General features: G+C 43.9%; 1 protein-coding gene across 3 annotated transcripts in view; it reads left to right on the plus strand.

Moving 5' to 3' along the window:
• The window catches only part of ARFGEF2 (ARF guanine nucleotide exchange factor 2), a 114,983-nt gene that overhangs the window by 19,246 nt on the left and 71,214 nt on the right, over positions 1–24,523 (plus strand). For 2 of the 3 annotated variants that reach the window (NM_006420.3, NM_001410846.1), the window contains exons 2-7: positions 243–273; positions 908–1,031; positions 10,367–10,513; positions 11,749–11,928; positions 12,600–12,834; positions 22,874–22,942. In NM_006420.3, coding sequence (NP_006411.2) covers positions 243–273; positions 908–1,031; positions 10,367–10,513; positions 11,749–11,928; positions 12,600–12,834; positions 22,874–22,942 — 786 coding nt within the window. The remainder of the gene's footprint in view (positions 1–242; positions 274–907; positions 1,032–10,366; positions 10,514–11,748; positions 11,929–12,599; positions 12,835–22,873; positions 22,943–24,523) is intronic. The other variant, XM_047439832.1, reaches the window with a different exon arrangement.

Here is a 24,523-nt window from a genome sequence, read left to right on the forward strand (position 1 = left end):
TAGGATCGTTGTGAGGGCTAAATGAGCTAAAACACTTACAGTAATGCCTAGCCAGTCACTCCATGTAAGTGTTAGCTATTATTATTGCTGTTACAATTATTTCTTTCACTTCATATCAGCATTTTTGTATTTAAACATCTCGTTAACAATCTTTTCAGTGGTCTCCAAATATCTTTTAGTAAAGTTTTCCTTTACATAAATGTTGCATTTTCCTAATGTGTTTTTTCTTCCTTCCTTACCAGATGAAATTAAAGCAGAAATAGAAAAGCAGAGGTAAGCTATAGCACTACCTCCTTGCTGAGATACGGCATGAAGGGAGTAGGTAGCAACTGGGGGAGCCTCTTTCTCTGCTTGGTTTCTCATATTTCTAATCCTCAGGGGTGGCACACACTCTGCAAGCATGGTGCTAGGCACACGGCACAACTCTGTGTATGTTTGAACTGATGCTAGGTTCACAGGCTACTGCCTCAGTACTTGTATACTTGGAAGGAAGGATCAAGATCGAGGTAATGCTGTTGTATCTTTTCTTAACAGAACAGGCAAAGCCCTTGTCTCTTGTATGGCCTGCTTCCTTAGGCATGAGGACAGCTTGCACCATGAGTGGTTACTCCTGATCTTCATAGTAAGGAAGGCCGTTAGTCACGTTTCAGAGATATAGCTCTGGCGTGGCTGCCACCAGGATTCAGTCCAGGATGTTGTTAATTCAGCATGCCAATCAGAGAACTTGCTCTCTGCATGTGGCACTTCAGTGGTGTTTTTGCTAATGCATGTATTCAACTTTTAATGCCTAGCCCCAGGATATAGTTTGCAGGCACTTTAAATTAAATGGTTGCAGATGGAATGGGAAGTTAGAGTAAGGTGTAGAAAATTCATTTCTTCTCCCGACCCTCTCTTGCTTTTCTCCTAGGCTTGGCACTGCTGCACCACCAAAGGCAAACTTCATTGAAGCTGACAAGTATTTTCTTCCATTCGAGCTAGCTTGCCAGTCCAAGTCCCCAAGGGTAGTCAGCACATCCCTTGACTGCTTGCAGGTACCATGTTTAAACTTCGTGTTGTCAAGGGGGTTCTCTCCAAGCCACAGTTGGTCCTTACACAGAACTATGCTGGGGACCACGCTGGCACTCAGTGCTGTCAGAGGCGATGCAGAAAGGAGCAGTTTAACGTATTCTTTTTGGAGATCTCATGAGGGAGGGAAAAGAGAAAGGTGTGAGCTCTTTAGCTTAAAACCAGAAATTTTTTCCCCTAGAAATATCTTATTTGTTCATGTCTTGTGTATGTTTTTCTAAATGAAACCTTTAGCATTAATTGGAATATTTGACACACATGGGCACATAAGGCATTTTTATACAGCCTCTTTTTTATTTTTTCCATTTTGTAGAGATGCAGTCTTGCTATGTTGCCCAGGCTGGTCTTACACTTCTGGCCTCAAGCAGTCCTACCACCTTGGCTTTCCAAAGTGCTGGGTTTATAGGCATGAGCCACCACACCTCCTGGCTCAGCCTTTCTTTCTTACTTGGTTTTTTTTTTTTTTTTTTTTTTTTTTTGGAGATGGAGGTTTGCTCTTGTTGCCCAGACTGGAGTGCAATGGCGCGACCTCAGCTCACTGCAACGTCTGCTTCTCGGGTTCAAGGGATTCTCCTGCCTCAGCCTCCCGAGTAGCTGAGATTACATGCACCCGCCACCAAGCCCGGCTAATTTTTTGTATTTTTAGTACAGATGGGGTTTCACTATTTTGGTCAAGCTGGTCTCAAAAGCCTCTTTCTTAATGGCGTTAAAATTCATATCAAGTAGAGAAATAGAGACAGTTGAATCTGTTGTTTTTGGTAGTTATGTGCTATAAAGTCACCTCCCATACTGAATTAGCAAACATTGAATCTTTGTTCCTGGAGGAACTACAGGGTTAGGTTCCTGCAAGCCTTTAGTCTTCATGTGTTTCTATTTAAAGAGACTATCTAATATCTATTGTTGATGCATTAACATTGAACTCAGGGGCCACGGTGCTATAACACATGCCTGAACAAAGCTTATCTAACACACATAATTTCTGTGTGAGGCACATCACCACCTTCTTGCTGTTAGGAACACTGGAAAGCACATCAGCACACCCTCGGGGTCCATTGTAAACAGCAAAATCACCAACAAAAAGCACCAAAATGCAAAAAACACAGCACTAACTACACCACTAAAAAGATACTTGTTTTCAGTAGGAGAGTGAAACAAGGAGGCATAGTGTTGCCTTGTTTGACCTCAGGAACATGAACATCAAGTGATTTCAAATTTTTTACTGCTCTGTGCATGTCTACAAATGACCAAAAAAGCCCCAGACGTATTGATTTGGGCTTATAAATAAATTTTAGTGAGTAGGTGCATTTGCAAGTATAGCTGCAAATAATGAAGACTGACTGTATTTAGAGTCACAAGTAACTTTGTTATAAATTACCTTTTACTGAAGAAGAAGCAAGAGTAGAGAAGTTAAGGTGACTTGTCCAGTAATATACAGGTAGTACGAGAAACAGGACTATAACTTGGGTTTCTTAATTCCTGGCCCACCATTCTTGTACTTTTGCTCAGGACCTACTCCTTAGGTTTCTGATTACCCCAAAGAACATTTATTCTCTTTTTTGTTTATTTTGAGTCAGGGTCTCACTCTGTTGCCCAGGCTGTAGTGCAGTGCCTTGATAATAGCTCACTAGAGCCTCTAACTCCTGGGCTCAAACAGTCCTCCTGCCTCAGCCTCCCAAGTAGTTGGGATTATAGGCATGAGCCACCACACCTGGCTCAAAGAACATTTATTCTTGACCTCAGTGGGCAGTCCACATCAATGAATAAAGTTTAATAAAATTTAAAAATATGTTGAAGTGATCCACAGCTTGCCAATACTTTCTAGAACAGGAATGGTGACCAGATTCTGTATTCTGATTGCTGTGTAGAAGAGGTGTCTGAAGAGGTGTACAGCTTTCTCGAGAAAGAGTACTGTGATTGATTGGTTTTATCTACCAAGGCACAGGACTGCAAAGTGGCAGTGAGCATGCCACATTTTTGGCATCTCTGGTCTAATATTTACTCTATTAATCTCTCTTCTTTGTTACATGTACTTGAGAATTGATGAGAGTTTCTTCACGGAAACAACTCTTCCAAATGCAAAGCCATTTTGTTATTCAGTGTAATTCTGTACAGATTGTCCTATGTGAGACATACAGTGAGCCAAGAATTGTTAAATGGCAGGCTTCAGTCCTACTTCTATCCTAAAATATTTTTTGCTGTGAACGTGTTCTGAGGAGATTTGGCAGAATTTGAATTTTAGTTGTTCTCTCCGCATGTTAAGGTTTTCTTTTGAAGGGAGTGCTGATAATGTAATTGACGTTCTAAGAACAGTGGCTGACATGCATTGAGCTCTTAGCCTGTAGTGGGCCCTGTGTGCTTCATTCACCGTACCGTGTGTAGTCCCCTCGACAGCCCTCTGAGGTACTTACTCTTGTCCTCATTTTAGAATCAAGGAAACCAAGGCTTAGGGAATGAAGTGACCAGCCTAGTCCAAGGTAGGCTGCAGTGCAGTGGCGCGATCGTGGCTCACTGCAAAGTCAAGTGATTCTCCCCGGGCTCAAGTGATTCTCCCACCTCAGCCTCTCAAGTAGCTGGGACCACAGGCTTGCACAACCACACCCAGATAATTTTATTTTTATATTTTTTGTAGAGACAGGGTTTCACCAAGTTGCCCAGGCTGGTCTAGAACTCCTAAGCTCAAGTGATCCTCCCGCCTAGGCCTCCCAAAGTTTGGGGATTACAAACATGAGCCACTGCACCCAGTGGGTTTCTAGGACTTCTTGACTCTGTGTCTGTGTTCTTAACCAGGGGTCATCAGCTTTGGCCCATGAGCCAAATCTGGCCTACTGTCTGCTTTTGCAAATAAAGTTTTATTGGAACACAGCTGTCTTAGTCTGCTTGGGTTGGTGTAACAGAATATCATAGACTGGATGTCTTCAACAACAGGCATTTATTTCTTACAGTTTTGAAAGCTAGGCAGTATAAGATCAAGGTACTGGCTGATTTGGTTCCTGGTGAGGGTACACTCCTTCTGGCTGCAGACAGCTGTGTTCTCACGTGTCATGGAGAGAGAGCTAGGTTTCTGGTTTCTTCTTAGAGGACACTAATCCTGTCATGAGGGACCTACCCTCATGACTGCATCTAAGCCTGATTATTTCTCAAAGGCCCAGCCTCCTAATACCATCACATTGCAGGCTTAAGGCTTCAACATACAAATTTTAGGGGGACACAAACTTTCAGTCTGTAGCAACAGCTATGCCCATTCGTTTATGTATTACCTGTGGCTGCCTTCCTGCTACTGTGACCTAGCGGAGTAGCTGTAAAGGAGACCAAATGACCCGCAGAGCCTAAACATTTAGTATGTGTTCCTTTATGGAAAAAGGTTGCTGCTCTTAACTGGCCCCTGCTCTTGACTGTACCCATGTGGTTCTGGCCTGTTTAGTAACAGAAATCGTTTGTTTCTGGAACTCCTTGCATCTGAGTATGATTTCAAACGGAAACACACCCTGCCTTGTTTCAACCCACTGTGAATCTTGAGTCTTATGGGGTATGGTTATCTCTCTTTTTAGAATGGAAGTTCTGGCTGGGTGCAGTGGCTCACGCCTGTAATCCCAGCACTTTGAGGCAGGAGGATCACTTGAGGCCAGGTATTTGAGAACAGCCTGGGCAACATATTGAGACCCCATCTCTACAAAGTAAAGTAAAAATAAAAAGTTAGCTGGGCCATGTGGTGCACACCTTTAGTCCCAGTTACTCAGAAGGCAGAGGCAGGAGAATTGCTTGGGCCCAGGAGGTTGAGGCTGCAGTGAGCCGTGATGGTGACACCTAACTCTAGCCTGAGTGACAAAGCAAGACCCTGTCTCTTTAAAAAAAGGAAAAACACACAGAAAGGAATGGAAGTTCTCTGAGATGTAATAGATTCTCTGAGATGTAATAGGTACACTAGGATTTCTTTGTTTAGTATACAAAATGAGTCATCCTTTTTATGACATGAGAAAGTGGCTCGGTGCTCCCTGGGCTACTGAATGGAAAAAATGTACTTCCCCATGGTGGCTGCCCTTGCCAAGCCTGTTTGACTGGCTTTTCCCAGTGTGGGCAAGGTAACCTCTGTCTTAGAAATGGAAGGCCAGCATCGGGGTAAAGTTTGGTTTGGGCAGAATTGAAACCAGCTGCAGATACATCAGTGCTATGCCCTGCCATTCCTTGAGCTTGGCGCAGCAGTAGGAGTGGCAAAGGTGCTTCTGGGATTGATTTGCCATAAGCACAGTTAGCTCAGGCTTCCTCTCCACTGGGAGAAGCCTGGAGACTTCCCCTGCGGCTTGCTTCTACCAGGTGAAAAAGATTCTGTCTTCCCTTTCTCCAGCATTTGGTCTGCTACACGCTTCCCCGCAGCCAGGGCTCAGTGTAAGGGGGGTTAAGGTCAGTCTTGTCTAAGCTACTAAGTAGTCCCCAAGTTTTTCTGGTCACATATCAATTTTATATATATATATATATATTTTTATTTTTTATTTTTTTAGAGAAAGATAGGTATTTTTTAGAGAAAGGAAACACCTTTCATTCTGTTACCTAGGCTGGAGTGCAGTGGCGTGATCAGGCTTCCGAAAACCCCGACTTCCCCAGGCTCAGGTGATCCTCCCATCTCAGCCTCCCAAGTAGCTGGGACCACGGGCTAATTTTTCTATTTTTTGTAAAGGCAAGGTTTTGCCATGTTGTCCAGGCTGGTCCTGAACTCCTGAGCTTAAGCCCACCTTGGCTTCCTAAAGTGTTAGGATTACAGGCGTGAGCCACTGTGCCCAGCCAGTTTTTTTGGTTTTTTTTAGAGACAGGGTCTCACTCTGTTGTCCAGACTAGAGTGCAGTGGCTTGATCATAGCTCACTGCAGCCTCAAACTCCTGGACTCATGTAATCCTCCCACCTCAGCCTCCCGAGTAGCTGGGACTACAGGTGTGTGCCGCCACACCCAGCTAGTTATTTTTTTTACTTTTTGTAGAGACCGGGGTCTTACTTTGTTGCCCAGGCTGGTCTCGAACTCCTGGCCTCAAGTGAATAATAAAACCATTTTTGAGGATATCCTGCCAATATATTCATATTTCTTTAATTTAAAATTATAGGTTAGGGCCAGGTGCGGTAGCTCATGCCTATAATCCCAGCACTTTGGGAGGCCGAGACGGGCAGATTGCCTGAGCTCAGGAGTTCAAGACCAGCTTGGGCAACATGGTGAGACCCCATCTCTGCTAAAAATACAAAAAATTAGCTGGGTGTGGTAGCACATGCCTATAATCCCAGCTACTTGGGAGGCTGAGGCAGGAGAATCACTTGAACCCAGGAGATGGAGGTTGCAGTGAGCCAGGATTGTGTCACTGCACTCCAGCCTGGGCAACAGAGTGAGACTCTGCCTCCAAAAATTAAAATAAAGTTATGGGTTGGGCATGATGGTTCACGCCTATAATCCCAGTGCTTTGGGAGGCCAAGGTGGAAGGATTGCTTGAGCCCAGGAGTTTGAGCTCAACATAGGGAGACCTCATTTCTACAAAAACCTCTTTATTTACACATGTTCCTGTTATTAAAGTATATATATGGCCAGGCGCAGTAGCTCACGCCTGTAATCCCAGCACTTTGGAAGGCCGAGGCAGGTGGATTGCCTGAACTCAGGAGTTTAAGACCAGCCTGGGCAACATGGGGTGCCTGTACTAAAAATACAAAAAATTAGCCAGGCATAGTGGCATGCGCCTGTGGTTCCAACTACTCAGGAGGCTGAGGTGGGAGGATCACTTGAGCCTGGGAGGCAGAGGTTGCAATGAGCAGAGATCGTGCCACTGCACTCCAGCCTGGGTGACAGAGTGAGACCCCATCTCAAAATAAATATATAAATAAATAAATTACATATATTGTAAAGCATACAAAAATACAACTTTGACAGGACAATTGGAAAAATATAAATAAAATTCTAACATTTTCTTTTTACATCCCAGTGAAGGCTGTAGGAAACCATTAATCTAAGCTGCCCTGTTTATACCATAAACATTATCTTTTAGCTCTTATTTCCAGAAAACTTTTGATTTTTTAAATGCACAATGAAAAATCAATTTTTAATTATGTAAGTTGTACATGACTACAGTCTCTGTTAAAAGGTTTTTAGAACTTTACAGATAAAATGAAGTTCCTTGGGCCACCAGCCCCAAACCCAATTGCCTGTTTAGGTGTATACTTTTCTTTCCTCTCTTTTTTTTTCAATAAGTGATATCACTTGTACAAGTTTCTCTGCAGCTTTTTACATTCAACACCGTTATCAGGCTCTAGCTATATCTCTCCATGTGGATCTAGTGCATTCTTTTGACTGGCATATGACGTGTCATGCCACCATTCCATCTCTCGCTCCCCTGTACAGAGGCACACACAGGGTTATAGTGAACATCTCTGTGCAAGCCTCCTTGGAGACATGCCTCAGTTTCTCTGGTCAGAGGTGACTCTTTGGATTCCTATCACTGAGGCAAAGTAAATAGAACCAACTTCAGAAGAGACCAGTGAGGTAGAAGACTTAATTTGTACCAAATATATTCATTCATGTGGGTGGGATAACTTGTAATACAGCTTACTTACCCTAACCTCTGTTTATTACAGTACAGAGGTACAGTATGTCCTATTCTGTACCAAGAAACCAACCGCATAGCATTTTCCTTCATGCAGTGAGTCCTATAAAGGCCTGTTATAGTGTATTATATTGTCATCATCTTCCCCTCCATGGCAGAATGTCCCTGTGCAAGCCCTGACTCATGTGTCAGTGGGCCAGCTGCCTAGAGGCCTCCCTCCCTGTCCGTCTTCCCGCCGCTCATTGCGTTAGCAAGGAACAAGGTGGGGACATCTACCTGGGGGATAGTGGGAGATAGGGGGCAGTATCTACAAGTCACACACAGCCCTGTAGGTCCCAGTTAGGACTTTGAGCTTTGGTGCACCTCCCTGGAGAATATAGACTCTATAAGAAAAATAATTACGTTTGTCTTACTATTGTATCCCCAGTGCCCAGAACAGGGTCTGTCACAAAGAAGGATGAGAAAGCAGAACCAGAAAGATCCACAGGATACAGGAACTCTCCTTTCTCCTGGCCTTGTCTCACTGCACAGATGAGGGGGGAAGTCATGCTTAAAACCCTTTCTGATTTGAAGAGTAATGTGCCCCTTAAGGAGTCTGGAGAGGGGAGGATACTTTCTGTCCTTTTCATACTTTAGTTAAAGTGCGAAAGTCGTAATCCATGTCCAGCCTGCTTTGTGGCATCAGTATTGCAGCCTACTTTTCAGCATTCACATTTGAGGAGTTCCTAGACCACCCCACTTGCAATCCAGTGCACAAAACAGACTTGAGTCTGTTAGATGTAAGAACAAGCAATGTCAAAACCAGAGCTCATTTTCCAGGTAGACAGCCCTGCCCTCCTAGGAAGCCTGCACCTGCAGCAGCAATGTGAGGGGTGAGGTAAAGGGCATCTGGACTTGCCCTTCACAGGCCACACCCCTCACCTGGAGATTTGGGGGTTGGACTTGAGCAGCAGAGTGTACGCAGGCCTCTCTCCTGCTCCTTCAGTTACTCCATCCAGTAGTATTGCATTTCTACTCTCAGCCACTCTCTCAATCCATTTTTCTTTCTGCTTGTTGAGTGGTGACACTTCACTAGCTAAGGAAGGGGAAAAGCCATTGAGAAACGGTGTCGGACCTTTGCAGAGCGGCCAGTCTTCCTCCCACAGTGGTGGCTGCTCTATAGATAACCTCAGGAACCTGAGTCCCCCTGGTGGGGGCAGAAGCATGTGACCAGTAGAAGCCAAAAAGGGGAAAGAACAGAACAGCAGTTTTAGGAGTCTTCACCAAGTCACTGGAGGCAGAGAATGCCTTAGAGTTCACATGTATATGTGCCAGATGAGTGATTCTTTTATCTGATCAACCATCAATATAACGTGGATAGCTTGGAGAAAAACACTGATTCCTGGGCTCCACCTGGAAGTTCTGCTTCAGTAGGTCTGGGTCGGAGTCCAGGAACCTGTGTTTTTAGTGAGCTCCCTCAGGTGATTATGTTTCTCAGCCAGGCTTAGAAATCATCCTGCTGCTGACCTTTGAGGTTCCTTCCAGCTCTGTCCTCCATGCTGACATCCCGGTTGTGTGTGAGGTGGCACAGACCAATTTGTAACCTCTCAGAGAGGGCACGTTCCAAGCAGCTGCTCGTGGGTGACACACACTACTATTGATGTAGGTGTGAAATGCAGATGAAGTTTTTACATTAATTTTTGGGGTAGAAAATACACTGACAGGATTCAACGTTGAAAAAAATGAAAAGATGTACTACAGAGTGTCTTAGTCCCACCCCAGCTCACAGCTACTTAGTTCTCCTCCCTCAAGCAACCATGTTATTAGTTTCTTAGGTATCTTTCCATTGAAAGAAAATACATATTCATATATATATATAATTTTAACAGCTTTTTGAGATAAAATTAACATGCATACAATTCATCCATTTAAAGTGTAATTCAAGCCAGGCGCGGTGGCTCACATCTGTAATTCCAACACTTTGAGATTACAGGCAGGAGGATCGCTTGAGCCCAAGAGTTTGGGACCAATCTGAGCAATATAGCAAGACCCCATCTCTACAAAGAATAAAGAAAAATTAGACTAGCTTGGTGGCATGTGCCTGTGGTCCCAGCTACTCAAGAGGCTGAGGTAGGAGGATTGCTTGAGCCTGGGAGGTGGAGGCATCAGTGAGCCATGACCGTACCACTTCATTCCAGCCTAGGTAACAGAATAAGACCCTGTCTAAAAAAAAAAAAAAAAAATATATATATATATATATATATATATATATATATATGTATGTATATACATGCACACACACACACACACACAAAATTTTGTGATTTTTAGTTTATTGACAGAGTTGTGCAACCATTACCACAACCTAACTTTAGACCATTTTTATGTTATCATTGACGATCACTCCCTATGTCTCCCTACGCCGCCCCCCTAACTCTAGACAACCACTAATCTCTCTGTCTTGAGTATGTGTAGCTATTAATTCCTCAGGCTTGCAGAGATGGTTGCGTACTGGGGAGTGCTCTATACCTTGCATTTTTCATCGGATACTGTATCACCATTCCAGGCATCTTTTGCTGTCAGGCGACAGGACGAAGGTTGCAGTCACAGAGTGGTTATGCCTGCCTGGCTCCTGGGGAGCAGAGGACTCTGTAGGAACTGGAAGTGCCTGTCTTTTGCTCTTGTGGGCTGCCACGGAAGGCCTCAGTCCTAGCCAAGCAGAAATGTATAATCTCTGTTCTTTCTCTCTTTAGAAACTCATCGCATACGGGCACATCACTGGCAACGCCCCTGACAGTGGAGCCCCTGGGAAGCGGCTGATCGACAGAATTGTTGAAACCATTTGCAGTTGTTTTCAGGGCCCTCAGACTGATGAAGGGGTTCAGTTACAAATAATTAAGGTATGCCTATTTGTTTGCCTGTCTGGTTTTTAAATTAGAAAGCAAGTCCCTGTGGGAATCTGGATTTCTAATTTACTATGTGTTAGTTGTCTCAGGTGGTGCTGAGGTGGAACAGAAAGATTTAAGCGTCACTTAGATCTTTTGTTAGGTGTCAGAATTTATTAGCGTGGACTGAGACAAGAAAAATGGAACCAGGTGTGTTTTCAAAGTAAACTGTTCAGCTAATAACAATGTAAATTTCTTGTGAATTAAATCGTCTTGAAATCCTCTGGTTAACCCTGGATTCCCAGTCTGGGTTTCTCAGTGGGTCTTTGTTGATATTCTTATCTCTGACTTGCCTCTGTCCTACTTCCCTGTTCGATTTCTGCTGCCAGGAATGGTTTGGCACAGATAGTACCATCTGCTTGTCTGAGAACAGGATCAGGACAGGTGTAGCCAAGGATCCAAATATTAAGTCCTGAAAGTATTAACATTATGAGGGGAGGGCTCCATGCTAGATAAACCTTTCTTAAAGCTCCCTTGAAAACCCACTAGGGAATTGGGAAACTGACCACATCGAAACGTATATTTTCTGATTAATCTGGGTGAGATCACGTTGGAGTGTTATATGTCATGAGATAATTGTCTGTATTATTCATTTTAGGTTTTTCAGTCAGTATGAAAATTCAGAAGTTTGGCCTTTTTTTTTTTTTTTTTTTTTTTTTGAGACATAGTCTTGCTCTGTCGCCTAGGCTGGAGTGCAGTGGTGCAATCTCGGCTCGCTGCAAACTCCACCTCACAGGTTCAAGCAGTTCTTGTTCCTCATCCTCCCGAGTAGCTGGGACTACAGGTGTGTGCCACCACTCCTGGACTATTTTTATATTTTTAATAGAGATGGGGTTTTACCATGTTGGCCAGGCTGGTCTTGAACTCGTGACCTCAAGTGAGCCACCCTGCCTGGCTGGAAGTTTGGCTTTTTAAAAAGTGAGCCAGTAGAAAGCCTGCTTCAACACAATTTAATTGTTTCGAGTGATTTGGATTTCATAGAACTGTTCATTGTTTTTCAACTAACAGCCATAGGAGTTGGCTCTTCATAATAATCACCTAGTTTAATTTGCAGAGCCATCTTACAATTTATTTGAAAAAAGCACACAGAAAAGAAAAACAAAACCAGACCCTCTAGAAAAGTGTGGCCATAGGAGGGCAGGAAGGTGATGTGCGTTCCTGATGGTGAAGGTCGCGGATTTCTATTTTAGGCTCTTCTGACTGCAGTGACTTCCCCACACATTGAAATTCATGAGGGTACTATCCTGCAGACAGTGAGAACATGTTACAATATCTATTTGGCCAGCAAAAATCTCATCAATCAAACCACTGCCAAGGCTACCCTTACTCAGATGCTGAACGTCATTTTCACCCGCATGGAAAACCAAGTGGTGAGTGACAGCACTTACGTGCTAGGGGCAAGACATCATTGCTCTCTGAACTCTATCATGTGTGACCTTGGTGCCTGTGAAGAATCACTAGCATTTTAAAGCTACCCCTTCTTCCTGTGGATTCTCTGTACTGTGCTTTTGTTCTTGCTTTAAAAATCAGAGAAACTAAAGGGTTTTGAAATTTGTGTTCAGAATTTGTTTGGAGACTGTCAAAGGAATTTATTTCCTTTTAAATATGTTATCCTTTTGGCTGGAATTTTTCTTTCTTTCTTTCTTTCTTTTTTTTTTTTTCTTTTTTCTTTTTTTTTGGAGAGAGGGTCTTGTTCTGTTATCCAAGCTGGAGCGCAGTGACAGGATCATGGCTCACTGCAGGCTTGACCTTCCCAGCTCAAGCAATCTTCCCACCTCAACCTCCCAAGTAGCTGGGACTACAGGCATGTGCCACCACACCCAGCTAATTTTTTTATTTTCTATAGAGACAGAGTTTCACCATGTTGCCCAGGTTGGTCTCGAACTCCTGGGTTCAAGAATTCCTGCTGCCTCAGCCTTCCAAAGTGCTGAAATTATAGGCGTTAACCACCGCGCCCAGCCCAGGAAATTTTTTAAGTAATAGGCTGGCATAATTTTTCTTCCTTACCAAAATGCTGTATCCCCCTTTTGTTGCCTTTTAGTTGCAGGAGGCCAGAGAACTGGAAAAACCAATCCAGTCAAAACCCCAGTCCCCTGTGATCCAAGCTGCAGCAGTATCCCCAAAGTTCGTTCGTTTGAAGCACAGTCAGGCACAAAGCAAACCAACAACTCCCGAAAAAACAGATTTAACCAACGGTGAACATGCCAGGAGTGATTCTGGAAAAGTAAGCACAGAAAATGGAGACGCACCCAGAGAAAGAGGCTCATCACTGTCAGGTACGGGCTGATACGGTATGGCTCTTTTTCCAAGTGTGAGAGGGAATCAGCCTGTGAGGGGCAGAAGAAGTGTATGTCATAACATCTGAAGGAAACCTCTGATAACAGCTTATCTCTTTCTGGGCCTTTCCCTTTGCTTTTCTCTTAGGGAACACAACCAGTGAGGCATGATGTCAAGTGTCCCGTTGTCAGCTGTGCTGTTTTCTCTAAATAGTACTGGGATGTATCTAGCTGCTACTTCTTCATGTCAGCCTCAGTGCAACAGGTTCAGGTTGGGACACTTATCTTTCAGTAGTTAATTGATTGGGTGATTAGTCACTCAGTGTCCACAGGAGGACAAGGGCTTAGATTCTCATGTCTACACTGGATCTCCATGCCTTGCCCAGTGCCTAGCAGTAGCCACTCATAGATATCCATGGAAGGAGCCAGAAGGTAGCAGGTGGATGGACGGATAGACAGATGGACAGATAGCTTTGTTTTCTTCTTCTGGTGACCATGTACATCACTTGTTTTTGTTGGGTTTTTAAGTGAGAGACTAACCCACACCTGATTATATTCTTAAAGTAAATGAAATGAAATACTGGATTGAGTTGTTATAAGATGATACTTCTGACTGTTCATATCTCTCCCTGGGCAGTTTGTAGGAACCAGATCCAAAATTGGTATTTTTTCAGGAATTTCCTTTCCCAAGTGATTCTGTCAAATGCTTCTTCACTCAAGCAGGTTGTTCTATACAAAATATCTGACCTGTCTTCATAACTGATCTCATTTCTTCTTCAGCCACATTACTGATAATGATTTCTGTTGGTAGTATGTTCCCTACTGGAGTGCACATATTTGAGCAGGTTTTATTCCTTTATAATTTACCAGACTGCTTGATGTACATGAGAACAGACCAAGTGTTGTTGCTGGAATGTTGTTTGGTATTCATTTACTCAAGGAAAGCACAAAAGAAAAAATTGCCACCAAGAATGGTGTTGTGTCTCAGGGTGAGCACGGAGTTGCCTTCTACTTACTTCTGCTGTCGAGAGTCCTAAGGAAGGTGCTCAGAATCCCCCGGCCCACCCTCTGTGTCTGTTATCATCTTTGCCTTTGTAACTCTCTAGGGAAAGGACCAGGTTTTTACTGTAACCCTTATTAAGCTGTGATCAGTCAATAAATATTAATATTTAAATACACTGTAATAAGCATAGCTGTGCAGATATAAAACCAAGTCTCTCTGACCTGCATAAAAGTGCTTCCACTTTAGCCCATTTTCTGTACAGCAGCCAAAGTGATCTCTTAAAAGCGTGAATTAGAGCATGACCCCTGCTCAAACCCCTTTGGTAATTCCCCATCCTGTGCCATTCTGACTGAAATCCATGCCCTGTCCTCATAGCTTATACCTCTCTTTCTCTTTTTTGCTACACAGTGCACAGGTGCCCTTTCTGGTTATTGAACGGCTGTGCTTGTTTCTCCCTCAGTGCCTTTGCACTTACTGTCCCTTCCCTGCCTCTGAACCCCTTGTATCTTCAGGTCTCTCAGTTCAGACTGAGAGAGGCTTCTCTGATCAACTTCTGTAGCTCCTCATCATATCTGTCCCATTATCTTTTATTTTTTTCCATAGTACTTACAATACCTGAAATTACTGAAGGGTTCTGTTCACTTGTTCCTGCACTGAAGCCTAGGCTGCCCTGCTCACCACCATATTCCCAACACCTAGAATGGTGCCTGGCACACGCAGCAGACATTGAGCAAATACATTTTTTGAATGAATGGGGAAAAAACGTTATTGCTAGAACATAATTTTGTAGAAACGCAGTAACTTGAAGTTCTGCTCTAACAAAGAGAAAATAATTTGCTGTTAGCATGTTGCTGTGGATTTTGTGGCCAATACTTGGTGCATCCTGTGAGACTTTCCCAGGAACATGGGAATCAGATTGCCTGGGAGAAGCAAACCCCAGACCTGCAAATAGTGGGTCAGAACGGAAGTGTGCTGTTACCTTTAAAAAGAGCAAGTGGGCTGGGTGCCATGGCACACACCTGTATTCCCAGTTACTTGGGAGGTTGAGGCAAGAGGATCACTTGAGGCCAGGAGTTTGAGGCTGCAGTGTGTCTGTGAATAGCCTCTGTGCTCCAGCCTAGGCAACAAAACAAGACCCCCTCTCTAAATAAATAAACACCCCATCTCTAAATCAGTCAGTCAATCTTAAAGGAGCAAATGACTTCCAGTTCTCAGGACTAGGCTCTAAAGAAAGAACAGGTCCTTCAGAAGAGGGAGTTGAACAAGGGAGACACGTACCCAGGGGCGGAGTCCAGGCATCAAGGCCCAGTGAAAGGCCTGAGCTCTAGTGCCTCTGTGGCTATTATTTTTACATATTACTAAAGTGCATGGATGTTGGACACAACCATGGGGCTCTCCCACAGACTGTCCTGTAGTAATCACCATCACATGGCCAACCCTAACTGGACACTCACTGTACTGCTGACTTGGCATTCAACATAATGTTTTCCAATTTAATTAACTGGGAATCCCCCCCACAGCCTTCCTAGGATAATTTGCCTCCCATGTTATTTGTGTAGATGAAGAGAATTCACCAATAGACCTGGACATCTGTGGTGGCTCACGCCTCCAATCCCAGCACTTTGGGAGGCCAAGGCAGGCGGGCCACTTGAGGCCAGGAGTTAAAGTTTGTTTTTAGGATTCTGACTTTTAACTCCCAGCATCAGACATCAGTGTGTGTACATTTTTACAGATACTGTGTAGAATTACCTATGTGTTTGTGTGGATTTCTTAGCTCACTTTTTGCATCTTTTTTTTTGAGAATGAGTCTCGCCATCTTGCCCAGGCTGTAGTGCAGTGGTGAGATCTTGGCTCACTGCAACCTCTGCCTCTGCCTCCCAGGTTCAAGTGATTCCCCTGCCTCAGCCTCCCGAGTAGCTGGGACCACAGGCTCACACCACCACGTCTGGCTAATTTTGTATTTTTTAGTAGAAACGGAGTTTCACCATGTTGGCCAGGCTGATCTCGAACTCCTGACCTCAGGTGATCCACCCGTCTCGGCCTCCCAAAGTAATGGGATTACAGGCGTGAGCCACCACGCCCAACCAGGATCTTTGTTTTAGACAGCAATATGTTCCAAATGCCTGGAACTGTGCCGGACACATACACACTCAGTTTGTTGATTGAATGAATCTTACCGCCCCACCATCCCCCATGCTCCCTATTTAACTGGACAGAGAACAGGGATGTGGGGAGGCCTTATCTCAGACTCCTCCCATTTTTTCCCCGTTATTCTTAGCATGTGACTTCTATCCTTAGGGTCATCTTATGGCTCAGGATCCTGTCATTTTGTTCCAGGTAGGAAGAAAGAGGAAGAGATAGGACTGAAGAACTCTGCCAGCTGAGTCACCCCCCTTCTAAAGAGGAGTCTTCTGGAGCTTGTTGCCAACCCTGATAACTTATGCTTACCCCTCATTGGCTATAACTTCATCACATGATCACCCTTTCTGCAAGAAAGGCTGAGAAATGTAGGCACATTCCCTCCCAAAACAAAATTCAGGATCTGTTAGGAAGGATATGAGTTAGAGAACTGGCAGTGCCTGCCACAGAGTGTTCTCCAGCTGGCTAGGGAGGGAATGGCAGCAAGGTTTCTCCTATGTGAGCCTATTCAAGGTGGCCCTCTTATTTTGCTTCGGGGCAGAGTCTGAAACAGATAGGGTCTGGTGCCTAATCAGTAGTGGTGGTGATATCCCAGGGAAGAGCAGAACCAGTGGTTTTTAAGTAGATTCTTTGTACCTCTCAAAGGTTTGATTTGATTTAATTATCAAACACTTTCACAGCATGCTTGAAACTTAGATACAATGGACTTAGTAGTGGTTATCACAACATCCAGAAAAGCCTCTTCTGAGACCTATCCAAGGCTGTCATGTCAGCAGGGGAAGCAGTCCACAGTTACTGGGTGGAGTCTTCCTGCTTTGGGGCCTCTACTGGGATTTTTCCTTAGCAGCTCCCTCTTCAGGAACCTTCTGCTGGTATTCGGGCTTTCTGACTCTCCTTAGCTCTTCCTGGCCTGAGAATGTTTTGATTTTGCATAAGTACTATTATGGATCCTGCCTATTAAGGAATATGAGTTATATACTCTATCCCTCCAAAAAACGTTGCTCTTGATGCTGTTTAAATGGAAAAACTGCAGTGAGGGAAAGAGGAGATCCATGCTGATGTGAAATTTTGTTTTTCTCCTTAGGAATGAAAGATAGTGAAGGTTTTAACTAACTGGAACTACTTGCAGTGTGATTCGTTGGAAATTTTCATTATGGATTTAGTCTGCAGGGCCAGGCGGGTGACAGAAATGAGCAGGCTTCTATCATGAGGACATCATAAATGTCTTCACACAAGCACCTACATATAAACACACAGGCCTAATAAAAAGTAGCATTTGAGAGCTCACTTTTTTCAGGCACTGTTTTAAATGCTTTATGTGTATCATTCTCACAGGGCTTTGTTTACTGGTAAGGAAACTGAGGCTTGGGGAGGTTAAGTAACTTAAGTCCCCACAGTGGGAAGTGGCAGAGCAGGGACCCGGACCAGGCATGCAGGCTCCAGAGCCCTCGCTGTTATTCATCATGCTGAATTCACTTCTACAAGGGAACATTTTTTCTCTGATGTTCTTTTTTTTTTTTTTGAGACGGAGTCTCGCTCTGTCGCCCAGGCTGGAGTGCAGTGGCACAATCTCGGCTCACTGCAAGCTCCGCCTCCTGGGTTCACGCCATTCTCCTGCCTCAGCCTCCCGAGTAGCTGGGACTACAGGAGCCCGCCACTACGCCTGGCTAATTTTTTTTTTTTGTATTTTTAGTAGAGATGGTGTTTCACCGCGCTAGCCAGGATGGTCTCGATCTCCTGACCTCGTGATCTGCCCACCTCGGCTTCCCAAAGTGCTGGGATTACAGGTGTGAGCCACCGTGCCCAGCCTTCTCTGATGTTCTTAAAACACCCTGCCCAGTCAGCCTCCCATTTTCTCTGCTCTTGACAGACATGTTACTTTCCTGCTTACTGTGTAGTAACAACAGTGGTCCAAGTGTGATGGCACCTCGCATTTGGCCCCAAGGGAAGGGAGTCGATTGGGAGTGGTGAGGACTGAGGCAACAGGGTATCAGCTGAGTTCATGCCCTGGCTGAAGAGGGCAGCTTCACCTGGTTCCAGCCAGTTGTGGCCCAGTGTTGCCACATAGTTGGGTTTTTTAAATAGAAGCCCATTCTGGTTTTTGTGAGTAGTCTCCTGGTTTTTAAATGTTGGCAGCTAATTCAGAAGTTTTAAAAAGCAGCACATAGGCTAAGCAATACATATGTACAGGCAGAGGTACTTGCCAGTCACCACTCTATAGCCTCTGGTCTAACTCACTGAGGCTGTAGCTTCTTTGATAAAATGAGTTGATATTTCTTGGGTGTTGAATGTAAATGAGGTGCTGTGTACTTTGGAATGTATGATACAGATTGGAAACTGTCACCATAATTTTATTAATATCATAGCATCAGAGAAGGTTGGGACTGGAAAGGAACTTGGAAATATCTAGTCATATGTTTTCCAAATTACAAGAGGTGAGATGTCATGATAAGTGAACCCTTCCTTCCCTCCTTCCTTCCCTCCCTCCCTCCCTTCTTCCTTCCCTCCGTCCCTCCTTCCCTCCCTCCCTCCCTTCTTCTCTCCTTCTCTTTTCCTCCCTCCCTCCTTCCTTCCCTCCTTTCCACCCTCCCTCTTTCCCTCCCTCCCTCTGTCCCTCCTTCCTTCCCTCCCTCCCTCCCTCCTTCCTTCCCTCCCTCCCTCTTTCCCTCCTTCCCTCCTTCCTTCCTTCCATTTTGAGACAGGTTCTCACTCTGTCACCCAGGCTGGAGTGCAGTGGCGCAATCTCAAATCACTGCAACCTCTGCCTCTCAGGCTCAAGTGATCCTCCTGACTCAGCCTCCCGAGGAGCTGGGACTACAGGTGTGCCCTGCTGATTTTTATACTTTTTGTAGAGATGGGGTTTTGCTGTGTTGTCCAAGCTAGTCTCAAACTCCTAAGTTCAGGTGATCCTCCCCACCTCAACCTCCCAAAGTGCTGGGATTACAGGCATGAGCCACCATGCCCCACCAGAACGTTTTATATTTTAATGGTTATTTATTTTAATATGCATTCAGAAAATATAACTAATGTATGAAAACTGTTATTTTGTGAATTTTATTGCTTAAGGTGAGTTAAAGAGCACTAGTAAATACTCGCAGTCATGCATTGCTTAACAACAGGGATACGTTCTGAGAAATGAGTCATAGGCAGTTTCACTGTTTTGCGAAAGAATATTATGGGTATACTTACACAAACCTAGATGGTATAGCCTACTACATACCATATGTATAGCTTGTTGGTATGGGCATATGGTATAGCCTATTGCTCCTAGGCTATAAACCTGTACACCATGTTACTGTATTGAATACTGTACGCTTTGGTAACACAGTGGTAAGTATTTGAAAAAGTACAGTCACAATGCAGTACAAAAGATAAAAACTGATATACCTGTATGGGGCACTTACCATGGATGGAGCTTGCAGGACTGGAAGTTACTCCAGTGAGTCAGTGAGTGAGCAGTGAGTGAATGTGAAGGCCTGGGACATGACCGTATGCCACTGCAGGCTTTATAAACACTGTACACTTAGGCTACCCTAAATTTATAAAAATAATTTTCTTTTTTTTTTTTGAGACCGAGTTTTGCTCCTGTCGCCTAGGCTGGAGTGCAGTGGCACGATCACTGCTCACTGCAACCTCCACCTCCCAGGTTCAAGTGATTCTCCTGCCTCAGCCTCCCGAGTAGCTGGGATTACAGGTGCCCGCTACCACACCTGGCTAATTTTTGTATTTTTGGTAGAGACTGGGTTTCTGTTGTTGACCAGGCTGGTCTCGAACTCCAGATCTCAGGTGATCCACCCGCCTTGGCCTCCCAAAGTGCTGGGATTACAGGCATGAGCCACTGTGCCCAGCCTATAAAATTAATTTTCTGGCTGGGCGCGGTGGCTTATGCCTGTAATCCCAGCATTTTGGGAGGCCGAGGCAGGCAGATCACGAGGTCAAGAGATCGAGACCATCCTGGCCAACATAGTGAAACCCCTTCTCTACTAAAAATACAAAAATTAGCTGGGCATGGTGGTGCACACCTGTAGTCCCAGCTACTCAGGAGGCTGAGGCAGGAGAATCTCTTGAACCCGGGAGGCGGAGGTTGCAGTGAACCGAGATTGTGCCACTGCACTCGACCCTGGCAACAGAGCGAGACTCTGTCTCAAAATATAATAATAATAATAATAATAATAATAATTTTCTTTATTCAATAATAAATTAATTTTAGCTTACTGTAACATTTTTACCTTATAAACAATTTTTTTTAACTTTTTGGCTCTTGTAATAGCACCTAGTTTAAAACAAACACATGGTACAGATGCACAAAAATATTTTTTCTTTATATTCTTATTCTATACTTTTTTTTCTATTTCTTAAATTTTTAGGTTTTTAAAACTTTAAAATTATTTTTGTTAAAAACTAAGCCACAAAACACACAGATTAGCCTAGGCCTGCACAGGGTCAGGATCATTCATATCACTGTCTTCCACCTCCACATCTTGTCCCTTGGAAGGTCTTCAGGGGCAATAACACACATGAAGTTGGTATCTCCTATAATAACAATACTTTCTTCCGGAATGCCTCCTGAACCTGCCTGAGACTTTTTTACAGCTAACTTTTTCTTTTTTAAATAAGTAGAAGGCAATGACAATAAAGAGTATAGTATAGGCTGAGCACGGTGGCTCACACCTGTAATCCCAACACTTTGGGAGGCTGAGGCAGGCAGATCACTTGAGGTCAGGAGTTTGAGGCCAGCCTGGCCAACATGGCAAAACCCTGTCTCTACTAAAAATACAAAAATTAGCTGGGTGTGGTGGCAGACGCCTATAATCCCAGTTACTCAGGAGGCTGAGGCAGGAGAATTGCTTGAACCTGGGAGGCGGAGGTTGCAGTGAGCCAAGATCGTGTCACTGCACTCCAACCTGGGCAACAGAGTGAGACTCTCTCAAAAAAAAAAAAAAAGTATAATAAATACATAAACTAGCCGGGCGCAGTGGCTCATGCCTGTCATCCCAGCACTTTGGGAGGCCGAGGTGGGTGGATCACCTGAGGCTGGGAGTTCAAGACTAGCCTGACCAACATGGAGAAACCCTATCTCTGCTAAAAATACAAAAAATTAGCTGGGCGTGGTGGCTCATGCCTGTAATCCCAGCTGCTCAGGAGGCTGAGACAGGAGAATTGCTTGAACCTGGGAGGCGGAGGCTGTAGTGAGCTGGGATTGCTCCATTGCACTCCAGCCTGGGCAACAAGAGTGAAACTCCGTCTCAAATAATAAATAAAAAATAAATAAATAACAAACTAATAACATAGTGGTTTATTACCAATTATTATGTACTATACAGAACTGCATGTGCTATTCTTTTATATGACTGGTAGCACAGTAGGTTTGTTCACACCAGCATCACCACGAATATAAGTAATAAGTTGTGCTGTGACATAATGACGGCTATGATGTCACTAGACGATAGGAATTTTTCAGCTCCATTTGTAATCTTCCTGGACCACTATTGTATATGTGGTTCCTCATTGACCAAACGTTGTTATGTGGTGCATAACAGTATATTTAAAATACATAATAATATATAATATTATAGTGGTGCATGAATGTGGCAAAAGCCATGAAGGTGGTTTGAGAATGACTAAAGTTTGAGTAACAGTGATCTAGTCTAAATCATCCTTTTTAGATGAAGAAGTGAGTTTAGCAATTGTGACTGTTTCTGGGGTTTTCTAATTTCAAGTTCCCTTTGCCTTCTAGGAAAAGCTTATAACATCAGTATTTCCCACACGAATTTACTTTGCCACGTAGATAGTTCCAGAGTGTTAAGTGCCCAGTGGAAATGAAAATACTTAGCACTGCCCTCCGGGACCTTATAGATCAAGCATAGAACTCATAAAAATGGTGGCTGGGTTGAAAATTCTCATTAATACACAGTCAAAGGATTATTTTGGTTTTGCTTTTTTAAGGTGATGGCTTTTTTGGTCAACGTGATGTTTTATAAATGAGTAATGTTAGGCCAGGTACAATGGCTCACGCTTGTAATCCCAGCACTTTGCGATGCCAAGGTGGTAGATCACTTGAACTCAGGAGTTCAAGACCAGCCTAGGCAACATAGAGAAACCTCATCTCTACTAAAACTACAAAAATTAGCCGGGCGTGGTGAGGAGGCGGGAGGATTGCTTGAGCCAAGGAGGTGGAGGTTGCAGTAAGCTGGGATGGTGCCATTGCACTCCAGCCTGGGCAAGACAGCAAAACTCTGTCTCAAAAAAAAAAAAAAGTAATGTTTACTTCTAAATATCTGGTCAAGAACTGTTTACTTTACGTAAGCTCTTTCCCAGAGCTAGTTTTCTGCGGCGGGGGGAGTAAGAGATACTGAACCTCTTCTACTTAAACAGTTAACATTTTACAGAATAATTTCATAAAAGTTTAGTAAATCCTTAACTATCACATTGGAAATCTCATGCCAGATTCTGGGTTTACAGTGTGAGAAGGCGAAGCAGCAGAAGGCATGTCATTTACCAAGGCTCGTTGGTCCCCGAGGCTAAGGCACAAGAGAAAGCTCCATTTGTTCTGCCAGGAACTCTGGCTGGATAAAATCGAGCTCCTGCCTCCAAGTTGGGGGTGGTGGGGAGGGCCCTGGGCCGAGCCACTGGGACTTAGGAAGGAAGAGAGTAGTATAAGCCAGTGGGGTTTTAGTGTTCCACAAAGGGAACCTCAAAAGCAGAACAGATGCTGCCTAAGTTTCCAGATTTCAAGGAAGTTGTCCTCCATTGACACAATCAGATTTGGCCTTGGGGAGAACTTATTTGCACCCTTTGCCTTCTGAAATGTAACTCCCCATAATCTCCTTTTCCTCTCTTCCTTTGTTTTTCCTGAAAATGCCCACGTGTGTTTTGTATATTTGGATGTGTGTGTAGGGACTGATGACGGAGCCCAGGAGGTGGTGAAGGACATCTTGGAAGATGTAGTCACATCTGCCATTAAAGGTAAGAACCAAGGACAACCCAGCCTTTCCTCTTCCCTCATTCCTCCAAAAAGTCCTCAGCAAAATATTTTAGTGGTGGAGTTTCCTCTTCCCTGCCCTAAGAACTGGTGGAGCTCATGGAAACTGAATCTTCCCACGTCTGCCCATCTTTTATATGGGATTCAAAAATGACTTGTTTTTACTGACTGATTTTAGTCTCATTTGGGTTGGGTTTAGGAAACATAGTCTGGGCCAGGCGCGGTGGCTCATGCCTGTAATCCCAGCTCTTTGGGAGGCCAAGGCGGGCGGTTCACGAGGTCAGGAGTTCAAGACCAGCCCAGCCAATATGGTGAAACCCTGTCTACTAAAAATACAAAAAGTAGCCGGGCGTGGTGGCGCACGCCTGTAGTCCCAGCTATTCGGGAGGCTGAGGCAGGAGAATTGCTTGAACCTGGATGGTGGAGGTTGCAGTGAGCCGAGAACGCACCACTGCACTTCAGCCTGGGTGACAGAGCGAGACTCCATCTCAAAAAAAAGACACATAGTCTGACTGTGTTAGGCTTAGATGCTCCACATAGAGATGCCAAGGGCCATTCCATATGCCTTGTAGATTAGGGGATGTCCAGGTTTTTCTAGGAGTGGGCTGGAGCCCTGAGATCCATGTCCATTGGAGCTGAGTTTTCATGGCCAGCCATTGATGTGTCAAGGGGACAGTCCACATGTCAGCAGGTATCAGGTGTACAGGGAAGCTTTGTTTTGTTAGGCTTCATTCATAAGTGCCTCATGGTATGGTTTCAGTGGAATTAAACTTGTATGGCTCAGAATGACTGTTAGATGATCTTTTTTCTTTGTTTCTGCCCAAAATCTCAGGTCAGTGGGTATATGTTGAACACTTTGTTCCAATGCCAGTAAATTATGAATTTGTCCAGAAATCAAAATCTTAATGGGTTTTCATCAGCTTTTTTTTAAATGAAAGAGAGTAAAATGAAACAGAGTACAAATGATCTGACTGTATCACATATAATGTTAAGTATTGTTTCATGAAATGTGTTTCAGTTACTTATGTGCCCATGTCTATACTGGGATACAGTTTTATAAATTAATTTCTTACAGAGGTCAAGATTTGAAAGCCACTTTTCTAAGCCCTATCTTTTTGTTTAGGTACCACAAAGCTATATACATATTCTATTATTTATTTAACTTCTTATAGAAATGCCTGTAAAATAGAAAAATTTTATTTCATACCTTTAGATTTGTTTCTGGGATCTATACAAGAAGTCATCACATAATGGATGTTTGTCTTGTTTACTTTGTGTCCTCCAGCCGCTACTGCAGAGCCTGGTACATAATTGGCACTTGATAAATATTTATTGAATGAAATATGCTTTGTAGGGCTATTATTGAAAATTGTTCTCATTGTTTCATGTCCCTTTATAGAACCACATTATAAATTTTTCTTAGAGTTTCATTGCTCTGCTGATCATCAGATATGCTTTCCTTCATTAAATGATGAAATCTGTGTAATTCTTTATTTTAATTCCCTTTTTTCACATGGCTGCCAAGAAGCTCAGGTTTACATTTTTTCTCTGTGACTAAGGTTTTC

Source organism: Homo sapiens, chromosome 20 (genome assembly GCF_000001405.40).
Source record: "Homo sapiens chromosome 20, GRCh38.p14 Primary Assembly".
NCBI lineage: Eukaryota > Metazoa > Chordata > Mammalia > Primates > Hominidae > Homo > Homo sapiens.